We start from the raw sequence: 20,705 nt of genomic DNA, 5'->3' as shown, positions 1-20,705 counted from the left end.
GCAGTCAAGTTAGAGCAGTGGCAGTAGGTTGGCTTTGATTCAAGCCCAGTTCAGAAGCACAGATAGAAAGGAGAGGCCTCTGGCAAATCAGTCTCCCAAGGTGGACTGACTGGTGGCATTCAGAAAGCCATCATCACCAAGTCATTATGGTAGTTGTATTCACAATTTCCGTGGCTTGCTTGAATGAATTATATTTGCTCCATGAGTAACACAGAATACACTGCCATGTTTTCACCCCAGATGTGTAATTAAATCATCCTATTCTCTCAGTCATCTACTTCCTATGCTTAAAAACAAAAAGGTGGTTGTACTTTATAAGATCAGCTTGGGGCTTTCCAAGGAGTCTATAATTTTAAAGCATTTAATCCTTACAAATTCGCAGTATCCAAGGAAATCCCTGAACCAGATAATGTGAGAATCTCTACGAACACCGATGCTCTTGGAAGCATATTTTCCAAATATAAAAGAACAAATTCAATGATGTTCAGGCTATCAGTCTTTAATAAATTTAAAAATAAAGGATTTGAATGAAAACTAATCCGTAATTTCTGTGAGGGCCCAGGAACCATTCCTAGCTTCTTCAATTCCCTTGCATCTCTTAACATACTTAACACAACAGGTGCAAAGTAAATGTTGCTGCTATGCATTAATTCATTCATTCAAAAATATTTTTTGAGTGCTTATTATAAGCCAGGCACTTTTAGGCACTAGATATATAACAGGGAGCAAAACAGACAAAAAAAATCCCCACCTTGTAGGTTTTATATTTTAAAACTTTCCAAGTCATCATCAGCAGGACAAAGATAAAAAGCAATAAAGTCACTGAGATTCCTGAATAGACTTTTCTCAAAAGAAGACATAAAGACATACAAATGGCCAATAGGTATATGAAAAAATGCTAAATATTACTAATCATAAGGCAAATGCAAATCAAAACCACAATGAGCTATCACCTTGCATCTGTTGGAATGGCTAGTATTCAAAAGACAAAAGATAACAGATGCTGGTGAGAATGTGGAGAAAAGAGAATCCTTAAACATTGTTGGTGGGAGTGTAAATGAGGACAGCCACTATGAAAAACAATGTGGAGATTCCTTAAGAAACTGAAAATAGAACTACCATATTATCCAGCAATCCCCTTTCTGGGTATATTTCCAAAGGAAATAAAATCATCATGTCAAAGAGTTATCTATACTCCCACGTTCACTGCAGCATTATTCACAATAGCCAAGACATGGAATCAACCTTCATCAATGAATAAATAGATAAAGAAAACATGCTATATACAAAAGTCTAAAAGCGTAGACCTTGAGTTCTGAAAGAAGCTTAGAAGCCTTGGGGAAGGGGGATATTTTTACTTTTCACTTTATTTCCTCCTATGTTGTTTGGGTATTTTTTTTCAATGAGCATATTTTACTATCGTAATAAAAAATATATTTTAAATGTATATACCTCAAAAAAAAGGAAATGTACTATATATACACAACAGAATACTATTCAGTTTTAAGAAAGAAGGAAATCCTGTCATTCACAATAATATGGCTGAACCTAGAGGACATTATGTTAAGTGAAATAAGCCTGGTACAGGAAGACAAATACTATGTGAGTGCACTTACATGTGAAATCTAAAAAGGTTGAACTCATAGAAGTAGAGAGTAGAATGCTAGTTACCAGAGACTGGAGAGGTTGGGGCTAGGGGTAGATGGTGGTCAAAGGATACAACATATAAGCAGACAGGAGGGATAAGTTCAACAGTCTGTTGTACAACATGGATACTATAGTTAACAACAATGTACTGCATTTTTGAAAATTGCTAAGAGTAGATTTTAAGTATTCTCATCACAAAATTAAGTATGTGAGATAATGATTATATTAATTACCTGGTTTGAGCCATTCCACAATGTATACATATTTCAAAACATCATGTTGTGGCCGGGCGCAGTGGCTCACACCTGTAATCTCAACACTTTGGGAGGGCAAGGTGGGCGGATCACCTGAGGTCAGGAGTTCAAGACCAGCCTGGCCAACATGGTGAAAACCCATCTTTACTAAAAATACAAAAAAATTAGCCAGACGTGGTGGCAGGTGCCTATAATAATAACAGCTACTTGGGAGGGTGAGGCAGGAGAATAGCTTGAAGCTGGAAGGCAGAGGTTGCAGTGAGCTGAGATTGCACCACTGCTCCCCAGCCTGGGCAATAAGAGCAAGACTCCGTCAAAAAAAAAAAAAATCTGTGTTCACAATAAATATATACAATTTTTATTTGTCAATTAAAAATAAATAATAATGGAGAAAATGTCACTGAGATCACAGACCCTGTGCCTTCTTTGTCACCACAACTGAACCCTAGGAATGGGAGGGTGGGGAGGATGGATGAAATGGAACTTAACAGGAGGCAATTGATTTTCTGGGGCCTGGATTTATTGCAGTAATTAACAGGGCTGCTGTAAAATAGGTTATTTATCCTACTGCCTAATCAAGAATCTCTAAATAATTTCTTTTTCTCTTCCTAGTGCAAATGTAAATTTTTAAAAATCTTATTTCAAATAATGCACAGTAGCTTTGCTAGTTGTATGAATAAAATTCAACTGGTCCAGTGAAAAAGCCAAACTCAAAATATGTAAGAAAAAAGGGGGATCTTATTTGTTCCCATGATTGGGACAGCAAAGAGGTCAGGCTAGCCTCAGGCACACTGGATCCTGGAATTTCAAAAGCCGTCTTCGGGATGTCAGCTCTTTCTCCCGGTCTTCCAGACTCACCTTACTCTGCGTGCTCCATTCCTGGCAAGCTCACTCCATGTAGTGGCTAAAGGGGCTCCTACAACTCCGGGTCTTGCGATCCTTTACCCTTGTGATCTTGGGTAAATCTGGCCTTAGGGACACCAGCAACTCCCAAAATGTAATCAGGGCAGTGTCTCTCTCTATACCCATGCCTGCCAGTCCCGGTCTTCTCTCTGCGTGTCAGCCTTACTGTCTCTGCTGTGGCGCACACCCCCTATGCAGAGGGAGAAGGGAGCACCAGGTCACAGAGGGTTCCAGTCTTTCTAATCCCCAGCTCAGCAAGTCTTGGGGAGAGAGTGGTAGCCCGCCATCCCAGCGGTCATATCAAATCTCTGGAGAGGACCCTGATTGGTCCGGCTCAGGACTAGACCATCAGGCCAATTACTGTGGCCCTAAGGATAGGATATCATTATTGGCCGGACCTGGATCATGCATCCATTACTGAAGCTGCGGCAAGGGAGGGCCCACCAAATGCAAATGCATTGCTCTCCCCTAGACCCAACGGATTTACATGACTCTTTTTTAAATCACCCAAATTTCTTACAGCTTCACCCCAGTTGCCCTAGTTAAAGTGCAGCTTTCGAGTGCTCAGCAGTCCCCTGTGGCCAATGGCTACCTTATTGGGTGGTATTGTTCTAGACCCTTGGTCAGGGCTCTCCTCTTTTACTCTGGGGAGTGCAAAGCATTTGCTCAAACATGAAGTCATTGTATTAGTTTCCTCTGGGGGCTATAACAAATTACCACAAACTTTGTGGGTTAAAACAACAGAAACCTGCTCTCTTACTGGAGGCCAGAAGTCCAAAATGGGTTTCACTGGGCAGAAACCAAGATATAGGCAGGGCCACATCCACTCAGCAGCTCCTGAGGAAAATCTGTTTCTTTACCTTTTCCAGCTTCTAGAGAACATTGCTTGCCCATGGCCCCTTCCTCTATCTTCAAAGCCAATGTCATGGCATTCTCAAATCTCTCTGTTTCCATTGTCACATTGCCTTCTGCCTTCTGAGTCAGACGTCCCTCTGCTTCCCTCTTATAAGGATGCTTGTGATTACACTCGGGGCCTACCCAGATAATCCAGCACAGTCTCCCCATTTCAGGAGAGTCCCTTTATCCTTATCTGCAAAATCCCTGATATCATTTAAGGTAACATTCAAAGGTCTCAGAGATTAGGACCTGGATATCTTTGGGGACCATAATTCAGCCTACCACAGAGGCGTTGGGGTGGAATGAGCATTCCAAACAGAGGGAACAGCCTGTTATGGCTCAACTGCCGGTTGGAGAAGGCACCCCCTAGAGCTGCAAGGCTACTGAGACTGAAGCATAGAGAGCTCAGAGGGGTGGATGAGATGGGGCCAGAGGACTGAGTGAGAACCCGAGCACTCAGCCAATGCCATGTGAGAGATTTGGGTCGTTTCCTGAAGAGAAATGCAAATCTGTTGGGAAGGGGAAAAGGGATGCATTTGCATTTTTAAAAGGTCACTCTGCAGAGTGAAAAAGAAACAGAAGGAGGAGAGTCATTGAGGATAGAGGAAGACCAGATTAGGCTGCTAATGCAGGCATCTCAGTGAGAGGTTGTGGTGGCTTGAACTACAACGGTGGCAGTGGAAATAGAAGGAGGCAGATATAAGAACTCATTATTGGTAGCACTGATAGGGGTTGGTAATGAATTTGCTTCTGGAGAAAAGTGAAGGAGAAAGCAGTCCAAAGGATAGCTCCTGGGTTCTGGCTTACATACATGATGGGGCATTCAGAAAAACTGGAAGAAAACCAGAAGGGGGCATTGGAAAGAGGATGGACAGCATGAATTTAGTTGGACCTCAACTTTCAGTGCCCTAGAGACATTCAAGTGGAGATGTCTAGCAGGCATACTAGTCTGGAGCTCAGGGATACAACTTAGGAATCATCAGTACAGAGGTAGTCACCAAAGCCCTTGCCTCAGATGTTGATGCTTGGGAGGGAGAAGGAATGAACAGAGCAGGGAGTCTAGGGCCGAGCTTTAAGAAACATCAATTCTTAATGGCTTTGAAAGAAGAATCTTCAAAAGAGACTGAAAAAGAGTAGCCACAAACAGAAGGATGTGACACAAAAGCCAAGAGAAAAATGTGTTTCAAGGAGGAAGTGGCCAATAGGATCAAACAGTGGGAACAGATTAAATCGCATAAGGGCTAAAAACTACACATTGGGTACAAATGTAGCATCTAAGTAATGTTTTTTACAACTTCCTCACTACCACCAAGCACATACACTGCACCCTGTACATATTATGAATTCATGAAGTGCTGACATATCAATCTAGCAATATACACTGCATAATAGGAGGCAGTGCGGTGTAGTCAGAAAAGCATAAGCTTTGAATGCCAGCCCATCCGCTTGTTAACTGGCATGCCTTGAACAAGTCATCTAATACTCTCTGGGACTTGATTTCCTCATCAGCAAAATGGGGATGGTAATAATAGGTTTAGTATGGGTTCAAGAAATTGTGACAATTAGTGACTCTATTCTTCAAGGTGATTTTGGCAAACTGCAGGTTAAATGAGCTGTCCAAGGGCCATCAGGTGCCAAACCAGTGTCTCTTGACTGCCAGTCCAGTGCTCTGATAAGGAAAAAATCTCTCTCGGGATCTCAGAGTTGTTGCTTTTTACCTCTACTGTTCTAATTCTATTGTTCAACAGTCATTCTTGGATACCTGTGATGTGAGAGATCCTGGGTGTGGGACTGGAGATGGGAAGAGGAGTGAGATACAGTTCCTGCCTTCTAGCAGGTCTTGGTCCCATAAAGGAACGGAAAATATAAACAGATAATTATAATATCAAGTCATAAACTCTCGGGTGGAGTCTTCAAGGGCAAACCACAGTGGGAACCCAGTGGAAGGAATGATGAACCCCAGAGCATGGGGGAGGGAAAAGAGAGAAAGTCTTGGTAAGTGAGAACAATACCTCCTGATTTAAGCTATAGCTAGGAACGTGTGATTGCTTTTCTTTTCCTTCCATTAGAATCAAGAACTTCAGATCCAGAAACGACTTTCTAAAATTTTCACACTCCTATATCAAAGATGGTGGAATTGAAGACCAGAGAGGTGAGGTATTTCCTAAGGTCAAGAGTTGGCAAAAAATCCAGGAGTCCCAGCCTCCAGTCTATGGCTCATTAAGCTCAGCTGTGTCTCAGTGAGGACCATAGTCATCCAGCACAGAGGGCTCAACTGACTGCTCAGCTGGGCTGGCCCATCAACTCAGGCAAGAATCACCTGCCCTGATGTCAAAGGCATCAACACCTGGGAGGGATCACTTGGATCACAAGAATCACAGCCTCGAGAAGTTGTTTGGCATTCACTGGCAGATTGTAAGAAATGTATTTCTGTGAGAGATAAACTGTATTTCTATGGTTTTCTTTCCTTCAGTAGCTTATGTATCTGGTTTTAGGAATATGGGGACAAATGGTAGGGTAGGGGAAGGCTAACAGAATCTTCATTAAGACTGGGGATAAAAACAAATTGGCAATAAGGAGAAAAGGATGACATTCTCCTTATAGATCAAAGCAGAAATCATTGTGACAAAATCTCCACATTAAAAAAAAAAAGTCCAGCCACTGTGGAGAGCAGTTGGGAGACTTCTCAAAGAACCAGGAGTTGAGCTACCATTTGACCCAGCAATCTCATTACTGGGTATGTACCCGAATGAAAATAAATTGTTCTGCCAAAAGATACATGTACCCATATCTTCATCATAGTGCTAGTCACAATAGCAACGACATGGAATCAATCAAGGTGCCCATCAACTGCAGAATGGATAAAGAAAATGTAGTACCTGTATACCATAGAATACTAAGCAGCCATAAAAAAGAATGAAATCTTGTCCTTTGCAGCAACATGGCTGCAGCTGGAGGCCATTATCCTAAGCAAACTAACACAGAAACAAAACAAAATACCGCATGTTCTCCCTTATAAGTGTGAGCTAAATATTAGGTACTCATGGACATAACGATGGGAACAGTAGATACTGGAGACTATTAGATGAGGGGAGAGGGAGAAGGGCAAGGGCTGAAAAGCTACCTTTGGGGTATATGCTCACTAGCTGGGTAATGGATTCATTTGTTCTTCAAATCTCAGCATGATGCAATATGTCAATGCAACAAACCTGTACATGTTCCCCCTAATTCTAAAATAAAAGTTGAAAAAAATGGAAATTCAAGGCCCATAATTTCAAGAATATTCAATACAATAAATTTACAAAATAGGTTAGTAAAATGAGACATTAACCTCGTAATTCAAAGCCATTTAAGGAATGACAGAGGGCTAGGGAGGGAAATCTGACTCAAAAAAACCAAAATGAAATGTATCATTGTTACAAGTAGATTAATAGATTGCTGTCGAGTAAATCTCTTGGAAGTTAAATTTTAAAATGAGGTTGATCAGGAATGTCATATACCACACACCATTTGTTTGTGAACAGACATCTGCAACAAAACCTGATGATACTTAAGGAGTTTGTTTCCTGAAAGTTAAACATGTTATCTGCTTTGTAAACCCTGTCTTTATAGATGGTTAAAGTATAAGCTTCTATCAGCTCCTTTCCTAACTGCAAATTCCATGTAGACTCCAAATGAATTTATCTGGAAAGTCCCTTGAATTCTTTGGAATGGAATTAGAACTGTGGGTCATTTTTCCAAGTCATGCCACGGCCACTTTCAATATTTTATAGTGACACTTTCTTAAACAACTTGAACAAGGAGGGACTAGTATAATCAAAGATAGCTAACCAAATAATCAGCAAACAGATTTGTCTGAAGATAGCATTTTTAAAAGTAACTATACTTTTAAGAAAAAGAAATGCGGTAAAGGCCTCATTTATCCAGCATTGTTAAGCAATGAGGTTGTCCATATAAGTGCATTGTCCAGATAGCAGCTGATTTACCCTTTAAACGACAACACTTCAAAATTATCTTGATGGAGATTAAGATGTACTACATGCGTCCTTGCTAGCTTACTTGAACCAATATGTTTTTGCTAAGCCTTTCTTGCAATGACTCAAGATCCCCAAATATTAATATCTATCGTGTTAGCTGTAGTATTATCCAAGAGTTGCCTGGAGTCCCTAGGATTTTAGCTGTAGACCCCACTATCGGGTTTCTTGATTCTTATATGTCCCTTTCCCCTTTTGTCCCTTTTTCTTAAAATTGTCCACAGGTCTTCCTCCAGCAGTCATTTCTCTCTTTTAATTTGATACTCTTAAAAGTGTCTTCTTCCTTTTTATGTTCAATTATGAAAACAACACATGCCCATTCCCTAAGACTGGAAAAATACGGAAAATTTAAGAATATTCACCTACTCATACACAGATATTCCACCTTTGTCTTTTTTAACTCATGAATTTGTTTTAAAATATACTGAGAAAGCAATATCTGCAGTCATAAATAGTGATGTGTATTCTGCTTTTTGTGCTTAAGGTGGTAAACATTTTTTTCTTCAAAAGAAACATCTAAAGGGCAATGTAGTATTCCTACAGAGGAATTTTCTTCACTTAAATAGTTCTCCCTATAACTCGCATGTAAGTAAACTGATTTTTCGATACCACCTTGAAGCAGCATGCACATCTCAAAGTAAATCCATTTCATAAAGCATGAGGGAAAAAATGTAGACTGCATTGATTTTATGGAAAGACAGGGAAGAATTTACTTCATAATTTACAATTGAATAATATCCATCGAAATAAAAATGTACTAAAAGGATCATTGCAACATTGTAAGACAAAGGCTAGAAGCATCTTAATAGCCCATTTTTAAGGGACTGGTTTTATATATCTATGAAATGAGATACTACATTGCCATTTAAAAGAATTATATAGATCTATATTGCAGATATGAAATAATCAGTATGATACGTTAAGATAGGAAAATACAAGGTGTGAAACTATACATATACATGTACACATGTATATGTGTGCAGATATATATATACACACACACAGATTGACACACACACATTTCAGATTCAGAGACAGGAAGGCATACACATACACCCTAGAAACTCAAAGTGATTCTGGAAGGATACACCAGAAACCGAACAGTGACTGCCTCAGCCTGGGGAGGCCTTGGGAGGCTTTGGGTGGGAGTTTCATTTATGATTCACCCTTGGCTATTAATAGAGGGCTGTAACTGTGATTGTCACATCCCCATGTGCACGTATCACCCTCTTTCAACACCAACATGAATTCATTTAATTTTTAAAAGAATAATAACAATAGTAAACCCTTATTGTTTACTCCATGCGAGGCAGTGAGAGCTTGTAACATGTATTCCACTTCATCCTCACAGATTATTTTCTGTGAAGGATACATAGAAATATTATCTCCATTCTATGGATAAAGAAACTAAAAAACAGGCGAGTTAAGTAACTTGCCCAAATTGCACTTCTGTGAAGCAACAGAGCTGAGATTTAAACCTAGGTGGATTGGCCCCAGAGTTTGTTTTTAAAGCTCCAAAACGTACAAGCTACAAGCACAAAACAAAAACAAAAGGCATGAAGTCATTTACAAAGGCAAAATTGACTTTAAAAATGAAAGAATTATTGATTTTAGGAAGGGAAAAAAATCCACACAGGTACTAGGATACTATTTTTCTCTCACATCATCTTTAAAGCTTAAAATTGAAAGCAACAGTATAGTGGTGAGTGACAGCTATACTGGAAAAATAATTATGCTGGGTATTTTTGATGTATATAGACAAAGTAGTTTTTATATAGTTAACACTGTAATAACTGGAAAAACACTCCTCTACTGCAGAAGCCTCCAACAGCATCACCCCAAGGTCCCTTCCCATTTCTATTTCCACACCTCGCCACGGGTGCCACAGCTCTCCCATGGAACTACTCAGGGGACCCTGAGGTCCGGCCCTGACATGTCCCACTCCTGTGCTCTGTTGTGCTAGAACTGTTCTTTCCACCATGCATTCCTGCCAATCACAGTCCTAGATGTCCTTCGAGGTCATGACCAAATTCCTCCTTCCACAAGAACACTCTCCTGGTCATCTACGTCAAAGCTCTTCTCTCCCTCCTCTGGTGCTTCCTTAACAGTCCACTCAATAGAAAGGTAAACACAAATAAAGAATGCAAAGAAAATGAAGATTATGAAAATGCCTATCTACCTCTCCCTCGAAATGTAGGTCCCAGGGGAACAAGAACACTTTCCATTATTTGCCCCACCACCCTCACACTGTCTGGCACAATATTTGAATAACTGTTCAAAAAAGATTACAAGAAATGGAATACAGGGAATGGTGTGAGTTCTTAAGAAACCTGGGGCAGATGGAAGAGCAGGAAGTGCAAGCAGCCACTGCTCTGCTCTGGGACATGAGGCATCTTTGCTCGCTCCAAGGTGTGAGATGAAGATGCCTCTCACACAAGAAGCAGGAGTTTGCTGCCAAAGGAAGTAGGTGTTTTGAAAGAAACAAAAACTGTTGGGTAACATATTTCCTTCCATAGTGGGACCTGCGTGATGCCACCAACCTCCAAAACTCAATGGACCTGGGAGCTCCCAGGGCTACTAGAGAATTGCTAATGGCAAAAGATGAGCTTGTATTCACCTTATCCTCCCAACCCTCACCCCTGGTCTGTGTTGTGTGTGTGTTTAGGGTGGGAAGGTTTGGCACATTATACATCGAAGTTTTATATTAGCAAGAGGGTTTCTTTGTTTTGTTTCATTTTATTTTGTTGGAGAGGGTTTGATCTTGTGGGCTGTGGCTCTGAAGAACATTAAGGATCCAGGGTTAACAGAGTTGATCCACACGTCAACAGCAAGAGAAACTGTCCTTGCTGAATTAAATGGCACCCCTGAAGGAGAGAGAAAAGGAAAGCAGGAGAAAGACCAAAAGGGGAGTCTGGGCACCTGTGCCAGGTAGGTGTCCTGTCCAGAGGAAACACTAGAGGATTCCCCTCTCCCAGAGAAAATGCCTGCACCACAGTCTGGCCTCTGGGTGTGTTCCAACTGGCATAAGGAAGAAGGGACCTTTTGCTGATGGACCAAGCCAGCCCATGGGCCTTTGCAGCGATTACAGGGTAGGACCCAAGAGCCAGTTTGCAGCATTTGAATGCTCAAAGAAGCCAGGCTTCCCCCAAAACTGGGATATGCTTTCATCATTGGGTAGCACTCTAGATGCTCTCTGACAGTTTGGAAAGAAGAAATGGGTGAGGCGTTAGGGTGGAATCTCACTGAGACCTTCCAAAGGAAGAAAATGAAGGAGGTGACTGCAAGGTCAAAGCTGGGTGGCTTGAAGCCCAGAGAAGCATCCTTGGGGAAGGCAGAGGAAAGTACCCCTCAGTGTGAGGCAGCCCTGGAGAGGAAGTGGCCAGGGAAAACACAGCAGTGTAGCCAGAGAGAGGACCCAGGGGTGACAAGCAGGGAGGCAGACCCTGTGCAGAAACCCTGGGTCACCATCCTACAAGGCCACCAGCTCCGCCTAGTGCTTTGTTCATATCTGCGAAGATACACAAAGCTTTTTCTTCCTTGTGTCTCCATCCATTTTACGCTAGCTCTCTTGTAAGTCAGTTGCTTGGTTCTATTTACCTAGCTTTTCCCGTCAAATTATCAATCTATACCTTTAGGAGCTTTATGAATATGAAGAAGAAAAAAAATGCCTTGAGTGGAAACTCAAAAGGGTTACTTGGAAGTCTTCCCACTGAGATATCCTTAACAAACATAGATAATCAACACAAATTGCTGGAATTACTCTACCCGAGTTGTTGGAGTTGTTTAGCATAGACTTGTGTTAGATTATATCAGATGTGTTTCTTTTTGTCTTTAGGAATGAAATGACAAATTCTTCCCAGGTGGCAGCAAGAAAATTAAAAGCCCATCTGCACTCTTGCCTCAAATGGAAAAAAAAGACAAAAAAATCCCATTTCAAATGAATCTCTGCCATAAACTTAAGCACAGCAACAGATGTGAAAAAGTCCTGTGAGACAAAACACAACACACTCAATCCCCAATAAAAATAATCAATACTGGCTAAAGTGCTAAAAAACACAAGTGCTTCCAGAATGCTTCAGGGTATGCCAAGAATCCTACCTGGAGGACAGCTGCTGTTGACAATGCAGCCTGCCAGTGGAAGATTACCTGGAGGAAGTTCTTACATTTCATCTGCAGAACCGTGGGAGAATATGTGAGGACGGCAGGAGGAATGGTACGGCCTGGGGTAGAGAGGAGGAAAAACAGTCAAAATGGACACATGGGAGTATACATCATAATCACTGACAAATGATTCCTGGCGTGCATGAGACCAGAAACTCAGCAGGGTTTTTTGAGGTTTTCTGTTTTTGTCTTATTTTGTTTTGTTTCCTTTGTGAGACAGTGTCTTGCTCAGTCGCCCAGGCTGGAGTGCAGTGGCACGATCTCGGCTCACTGCAACCTCCGTCTCCCAGGTTCAAGCGATTCTCCTGCCTCGGCCTCCCGAGTAGCTGAGATTACAGGTGCCCATCACCACGCCCGGCTACTTTTTGTACTTTTAGTAGAGACAGGGTTTCACCATGTTGGCCAGGCTGGTCTCAAACTCCTGGCCTCAAGTTATCTGCCTGCCTTGGCCTTCCGGAGTGCTGGGATTATAGGCATGAGCCACCACACCCAGCCACATTCACCAGTTTTTAAATGTCCTAATGCCAAGGATTATATGTAATTTGCTGGTATTACTTAATAGAAACACCACCAGATGTATTCTGGAAAGGTGAACTGATGTTCCACGATGGCAGAGAAGCCAAGGCAAATGTAGAAGCCAAGGAAGGGCCAAGAAAAGCAAAAGCCAGTTGCCTTCATGCTGGGCCTGGTTTTGTGTATCGTGACTGTATTGTCATCATCACCGTAGAGCATTCAACAAGGATCTGAAATGGGTCCTAAATGCATCTCCATGATTTGTTGTGTCAACATAGCACACACACCCTGCTACAGCTGACTCTAAATCAAATCCAGTTACAAAAGGTAGATGGTAGTTATCAAGGTGGGTTAAATGAATTTTTACCCATGTGCAAGTCTGCATGGATGCACATACAGAGACACGCTCAGTACCCTATGCCAACCAGAGTTCCATCCCTACAGCACAGGCTCACCCAAACCCTGGCCTTCCCCTCAATGACCTCACCCCCACTCCAGAGCCAGCCCTGGGTGTTACTGCCCATGGGTGTTTCTGACTCTTCCTCTCTCAGAAGTCACCAGAAAATCCTAAGAAGTGGTTGATATGGCTTAAGATCCTCTTTGATAGGGGCTGGGCTAACTCAACAATTGTTATCCACACCCAGTGAGGTGCCTGTGGCCCAAAAGCCTTGTGGTTTCCAGGAAAATGTTTCATAGATGATTCTCCTCAATTTTTAGTCTCTTTAAAAAAAAATCACTACTTTTTTAAATTGACAAAAAGTATATGTGTCTATGGTGTACAACCTGATGTTTTAAAATGTATATACATGTGGATGGCTAGATCAAACTAATTAACTTATGCATCACCTCATGTACTTCTCATTATGATTTTTGTGATAACACCTAAAATCTGCTCTTTCGACAATTTTCAAGTGTACAATACATTGTTATTAACTATAGCTACCATGTTATACAATAGATCTCTTGAACTTCTTAGTCTCTTGATTGGATTTAAATAACTGCCTCTCTGTACGTGCCTGGGCTATAGATGTTACCAAATAAACAGAGAGATTTTGAAGATACATACACATTCTTTAGTGTGATTTTTCTTTTGACAGCTTTGTTCCACATCCAACAATAAGCGGGACATTTAAAATTTCTGGTCTTGATGGCCGAAAATGATAAATCTTGGTTTTTTTCAGTATGATAGAGCTGGTCAAAAATGTTAATTCCTGGAGCATCTTGTAGTGGCAGAAAGTGCCGGAAGGGCTCCCAAAAACATCACAAGAAAGGGGATACATCAAAGAGACATGGGATCCCACTGAAAGAGTTCCCAATGGACAAAGCTGGAACAATCTGATTAACAAAGTAGCACTGGAGTATAACTTGATATTCATGAGTCTATACTGACATAAATAAATGAACATATAAATAAACAAGTGGGGGAGAATAGATAAATCTCTAGACAGAAGAATTCCATCATGTATGTAGCTACTCCCCCTCAGGGAGGTGGAGTACAACTCCCACTCCTTAAGTGCGGGCTATCCACAGTGACTCCCCTCCAAAGAGTAAAGTATGAAAAGGTGGAAAAAAGAATCACTTTACAGTAGAAAAACCTGTCAAGACTACCTCAGCCAGGTCATCAAGGTGAACATCAACTGTGAGTTGCGTTGAGGGTGCCACTGATGCAACGTGATGAGAAGGGCACTTTGCCTCTGTGATCTTTCTTCCAGAAACCCATAACCTCAGTTAAAACATGAGAAAAACATCAAACAATTCAACTAAGGAACATTCTACAAAATACTCTCCAGGACCCTTCAAAACTATCAAAGGTCACTGAAAACAAGGAGAGTCTGAGAAACTGTCTCAGCCAAGAGGAGCCTATGGAGACGTAACAATTAAATGTAACGTGGCATCCTGGATGGAATCTTACAGAAAAAGGACATCAGGTCATAGAGTATTGACTTTGGTTAATCATGAGATTGTGACAAATGCACCTAATGTACATTCATACATTCAGATTTGCAAAAAAATTTTAAAACTAGTACAAAGCATTCCCATATACCTCACACCTAGCTTTCCTTATTAATATCTTACATTAAGATACAGATAATGTACATTTATAATGTGGTACTGAAATATAACTTGGTATTCATGAGTCCATACTGACATAAAAAAATGATCAAATAAATAAACGAGTGGGGGAGATGTACATTATCTGCATTCTAATGTAAGATGTTATTTGTACATCACAAAGTACATTACCTGTATCCTTCATTAGGATTTACATTGTACATTACATTATGATACAGATAACGTATATCGTACAAATGTACATTTTATATTACTTACATTGCACATTTGTACAAATGTATATTATATGTATCCTAATGTAAGATATTAATAAGGAAAACTGGGTATGAGGTATATGGGAACTCTTTGTACTATTTTTACAACTTTTTTGCAAATCTGAAACTATTCTAAAATTTAAAGTTTATTTAAAGAAATTTGGATTCCTGAGTGCCCCATCCCCAGAGGCTGTGCTTCAGTATATCTGATCTAAGACTCGTCAGCTGGTAGGGGAGTAAGCTAACCAGGTGATTCTGTTGCAGGTTGCATCTGCAGTTTTCTAAAAATCTACAATCCAGGATCTATTTGTTTAAATACAAAAGCAACTGGCCATTGAAATGTCTACCTCCTCTACGCTTGAGTGCCAGCAGCTCCAGAGACAAAAATGACTGCCTCCTACTTGCCTGACCCAAGGGTACCATTCCCAGTGCTGGACTACTCCAGAAATGTTGTCATATTATGCCATGGCCGGTCACCAAAGGCCACATTTCCACAGGTTTTGACAACCCCCAAGTACAATCGCATTCACAAAAATAAGCTTTTAAAGCAGTGATGATGTAACAAACAGTCCTGTGGCCTCCAGCTCTGTGAACTAGTGAAGTAAAGAAAATGAAAAGAGAATAAAAGGTAGTGCTTCCAGCAGCCCTCAAACTGAACAGATTAGTGCAGGGAAAAAAGCTACTCATTCACCAGGAAGAGCACGGGCGGGAGGAACCATGCACATCTTCAAGGCTCAATCCAACTGTGCTTGGTTGTGCATGGTCTAATGGTACTCTCCAAAACCCTCCGATATTTATATATGGTCAATTAAAGCATAATAATTTTAGCTAAGGAGATGGTCTTCAATATTAAATAGGAGACTTGTGGAATTATTTAAATAGTTTGGTTGGAGAAGGTAAACCTATATGGCCATTATAAATCTTAACCATATCATTAGAATAGGTTGCTGTCAACTAGTATAGAACAGTTGGATTGTGTCTGTCTTATTTTCTCCATGGGTATTCAATCCCTTGATCCCTTCATTTAGGCGACCTGATTTTTGGCAGGTGTGTTATTCATTTCCTATGAATATGACATTTTCATAGTGAAAAGATGATCAGTTACTCCCAGATAATATCATTTGTCTTAATTTGCAGACTTTCCTGAAGCATCAGGAAAAACGTAACAGATGGGTGGTGTGTGTCTGTGTGTGTGTGTGTGTGTATGTGTGTATTTTCACATGGGCCACCCGTACCGGGGGCCAGACAAATGAGTTCAGCCTGTGTACCAGGCAACAGTCTCCACCAACAATGTTTTCATTACTAATTCTTTCTTGCTCCCAGGATCAAATTGTAACACTCTGTTTTTAACCAAAATACAATGAATTCTCAGCCTAACCAACCTCAGAAGGAGACTTACTGTAATTTCCGACAGGCTAGCACTCTGTCAGAGAGCTCATGAGCAGGTTTGCTTTTGGAAAACAGCCTAGGGTTGGAGATTTTTGGTCTGAAGTAGGGAAACGTAGAAAAAAATTCATTGAAGAAATTTAGCCCAAATCCATGTTGCCAACCTCAAATGATTAGTTTCCATATAGAAAACAAAAATAAAGATGAGGACAAGATAAAGTTTATTCCTCAGACTGCTCTACTGCATGAATCATCCAAACCCAGTAACCAGGATATTTCCGTCCGCAATACCTCAAAACAGACTCAAATGGCATTGAAATAAATTGTGTTTCCCCATTTTTAATGGCACAAAGTTCATTTGAGTTAAGCAAATGACATCATATGGGGGGAAAACTGTAACCTTTAGTTACCTGTAACCATAGCAGACACTCTGAAATATGATATTTGAACTTATAATACCTGTTAAACCACAACAGATTCTGCAAATGTCAGTGTCAGGCTGTTAGGGAAGCAACTGATCAGAATCCCAAATCCTGTCCCAGAATCCCAAGCCAGGATAATTTGTTATGGAAGCAAATTATTCTTGATATTTTAAAAATAATTCTAAGTAGAGTCACTAATTAATCCTCACCTCGTAGCGCTCAGTCCTGATAAATGTAAACACTTGCCTCTTAGCAGGCATGATGAAGGGGACTGCAGGGAAGCTAACTTGTTCATGGAGCAAGTCAGAGGAGAACGCACATTTCAAATGGAAAGTTCATCTCCTAATTCTGAGCTCAAGTCATTTTTCTCTGCATTGCTGAGAAATTGGCACCGAGATAAGAAAGAGGCCAAACTGAAATCATTACATGAATGCTTCTTGGTATTTGGGCTCTGATACCCAAGGCTGCCTTTTGGTTTGTAATTCTTTTTGAGATCTTTCTTTCCTGGAAATGGTAAATGCCCGTGTCCATGAGGTGTAAGGTGGGGCAACAAATACTGGTCAAACGGGAAAAGACCCAGTTGTTGCATCCTGTTTTCTGTTAGACCACAGTTTCAAGTTCCTTCAGGGCAATTGTTTCAAGACTAATTTTCCACCCTTTGGTGCCTTGTCAAAGAACTTTCTAGGGTCAGCAACATCAAATGGATGCTCTGCAAACAATTTCTGAGTATGTGCCAGGCCCTGAGGACATAAAGACCCATACAACACCTTCTCTTATGGTCCAATACAGGAAGACGTAAGAAAGCCTGACCTCTCCTCCTGGAATTCTGTGCCTGGACTTTTTCATCACTCACCACTTGGTTGGAGACCTGTCTACTGTTGAAATGACCACCTCCTATATTTAGGGATTCTCTAGAACAGCCCTGTCCAATAGAAGTATAACGTGGACCACAAATGATTTAAATTTTCTAGTAGTCACATTAAAAACAAAAGTTCAAAAAATATGTGAAATAAATGTTAATAGTATATTTCACTTAAACCAGCATATCCAAAGTAATGGCATTTCAACATGTAATAGACACGAATAAATTATTAAATTAGGAGATATTTTCTTTTTCACACTCAATCTTTGTGAAATCGACATCTATTCTACACTTCGGCACATCTCAGCACTCATTTCAAGGGCTCCAGTAGCCACATGTGACCAGCAGCTACCAAACTGAAGGGCACAACTCTAGACCCTAGCCTGGCTTCTTTTCTTTTACACTGCGGAGCTGAAAGCCTCTGTTCAAATAAGAAGGTAATGTATTGCTATTGCTGCTGTAACAAATTCCACAAACTTAGTGCCTTACCATACACATTTTATTATCATACAGTTCTGGAGTTCCGTCTGACATAGGTCTCACTGGGCTAAAATAAAAGTCTCATCAGGATTATCTTTCCTTCTGGAGGCTCTGAGGAAGAATCTATGTCCTGCCTTTTCCAGCTTCTAGAAGCTACCTGTACTCATTGGCCCTTGACCCCCTTCCTCCCTCTTCAAAGCCGGCAAGGATGCATCTCAGACGCTCCCTCTGATCGTGTTGTCCTCTGACCATAGCTGGGAAATGTTTCTCAGTTTAAGGAGATTAGATTGGATCCACCTGAATAATCCATGATAATCTCCCCATCTCAAGATCCCTCCTTTTATCCCATCAGCAAAGTCCCTTTTGCCATGTAAAGTAACACATTCGCAGTTTCCAGGGATAGGGACCTGGACATATTTGGGAGATCATGAGTATGCCTACTACAAGTTTGGTTTTGTTTTCATTACAAAGACAAAAGAATAAATATTTGAACTTGAGGACTTGGAGAATCTATCAGGTTACACTGGAAAAACATTGATTGCCTTTTTCCCTCAAGTTCATTCAGAAAGAACAAAAACTTCTTCCCTTGGATAAGAAAGACACAATCACTTTCATGAAGTTCCACCCATATCCCAGGATACGAATTTTTTCCTCCCACATGACACTGACTCTTCATTAAAAATATTTTAATGTCTTCTAGATGCCAGACATATACCAATCCTAAAAAATAACCACAGCCAAATAGCAAGAGGAAGATTATGGCATAAGGCGATGGTTCTTTTCAAAGGTAAGAGGGTTTTTAAAAAATTACTATTGTTTTATTTTGAAATATTTTTTCATGTTGGATGCACACTAAGAGCATGACATCTTTCCCCAGAAATGTTACTAATGAGAAGAAATAACCTAGGAAGAACCCAAATAAGCAATAGCAATTTTTAAAACCTTTTATTTGTCAGAAAAATATCAGAGTCATTAACACATGGAGCCAGAGATCAAAATAGAAACATAAGGCCAATACATTTGAGACTTTCTTAAGGACATAATTTTTAAAGACTTAAAGATTGTGAAGTAAGTATGTTTATTTACATATATCAATGCATCTTTTGATGCTAGCTTATTACTTGCAAGTGTCATGCCAATAATGCATATTGTCTGTCACCTGGCTTATGGCTTTAGCCCCTTTTGGAGGATAATCATAAAACCAAAAACTGTTGGGGCAGGAAGGAACCGCAGACAATGCAGTCCAGTCCACTCATTGTGCAGATTCAAAAATAGGCCATTGGGGAGGCCAAGTGACTTGCTCAAAGTCTTACAAGTAACTAGTGGCTCAGCCAAAGCCAGACCCTAGACTACAAACTGTCAGAACAATGCTTTTGACCTGTTGGGAAGGGGTGAAATTCTCCCTAGCCACTCATTCATTCATCCATCCATCCATCCATTCAACCAGCATTTGCTGAGTGCCCACCACATGCAAACGCTGTTCCAGGGCTGGAGATGCAGAAGAGAACAAAACTGGGGGCCTTCTGCCCTTGGGGGTGAAGAGATAACAAATATATACTTATGCCAGGTGGTGAAAGGGCTAAGAAGGAACATAAAGCAACATAAGGGGCTCACTAGTGATGGAAGGTTGCTGCTGTTCACAGGTGGTCAGGGAATACCATATGGATAAGGTGACATTTGAGTAGAGAGTAAATTTGGAGTAAAATTTAGAGTATGTTTAGAATAGAAGCGAATTCTAAACAGCATGGATATCATGAAATGTTAATAGAAAATTCCAAAAACGATAGTGAGGATGTATATGAAGGGGAGGCCAGTGGGAATCAGTGAAATAAGGAAGCAGGTGGCTTAAACAGAGAAGGGACGCTGGTGGTGGCAGTCTGCAGTCTGCTCACCTGAGCCTCCATGCACCTAAGCAGGTGTGACCTCAGAGGAACCCCCTGGAACTCACCTCTGCTGTCTGCCTGGCACAGGTCCAGGTGGCGCCTATGAAGACAGGCCCCATGACCACAGGGGAGCAGTTCTGGCCTGAATCTGAGGAGGGAACCTGGGCAGAAAAGGATTTCCTTTTCAGTAACCAAAGAACTAAGAAAACCCTCCCGATTCCGAGTGGGGATGGAGGTGGATGAGCCAGCAAGAAAGGACCTCAAAGGTCAGGCCAGATTAGAAGCCAGGCTATTTGAAACAAGGAAGGGAAGCGACTGAGAAACAGTTCAAATCGTCAAGCTAATTGTGCCCAAGGAAGCTTTTCACAAAGTGTAATTCAGGCTTTTTTAAACCATAGACTGTGTTGCTGTACCACCTTGAGGCTCCAAGTAACACTGCAGCTTTAAGAAAGCAGAGTTGGTCATCAATGCCGCTGGACTTCTGTGGTCTCTGCCCAAAGCCTCCTTCTCACTGTGATAAAATTCTATGTACCCCTGGATTGGTGGCAAGCACCGCCCTGTAGTGAACCCCACGGGAGAGACTGCAGGGCTGTTTTCGGGACAGTAGCGAACTCAATGGCTGCCACTCAGCCCTGTGACGCTAAGACCAGCCCAGCCTGGCTGAGAGGTGCATAGGCACCACTGTCTAGGGCAAACTGCCAAGATGGCCATCTTAGCCTACCCCGAGCTCCAGCACCTCAGATCCTGTCCCTTCACGCTCAATCACAAGGCAGCTTCTGAGGCCATCAGACGTCCCTACTCATGGCTGAGGACCACAGTGGCCATTCAGCAGCTTTGCCTTCCTCTGCATACCCTGGCCAATGGTGTCCTTCCCTGTGCCGGTATTTGCTCCTGCTAGAAACTCTGGCTTAAAGCCCCCTCCTCCATCTCTTCCCT

General features: G+C 41.3%; 3 annotated features.

Moving 5' to 3' along the window:
• Positions 20–109: an enhancer, noted in NCBI's record as "active region_7642". NCBI's record gives its function as "activates an Ori minimal core promoter by ATAC-STARR-seq in GM12878 lymphoblastoid cells {active_cell/tissue: GM12878}" and the evidence as "EXISTENCE:reporter gene assay evidence [ECO:0000049][PMID:35858748]".
• Positions 150–239: an enhancer, noted in NCBI's record as "active region_7641". NCBI's record gives its function as "activates an Ori minimal core promoter by ATAC-STARR-seq in GM12878 lymphoblastoid cells {active_cell/tissue: GM12878}" and the evidence as "EXISTENCE:reporter gene assay evidence [ECO:0000049][PMID:35858748]".
• Positions 20,096–20,165: an enhancer, noted in NCBI's record as "active region_7640". NCBI's record gives its function as "activates an Ori minimal core promoter by ATAC-STARR-seq in GM12878 lymphoblastoid cells {active_cell/tissue: GM12878}" and the evidence as "EXISTENCE:reporter gene assay evidence [ECO:0000049][PMID:35858748]".

This window comes from Homo sapiens, chromosome 13, assembly GCF_000001405.40.
Source record: "Homo sapiens chromosome 13, GRCh38.p14 Primary Assembly".
Classification (NCBI taxonomy): domain Eukaryota; kingdom Metazoa; phylum Chordata; class Mammalia; order Primates; family Hominidae; genus Homo; species Homo sapiens.
Note: the sequence above shows the minus strand (reverse complement) of the source record. Positions and strands in the feature narration are given on the sequence as shown.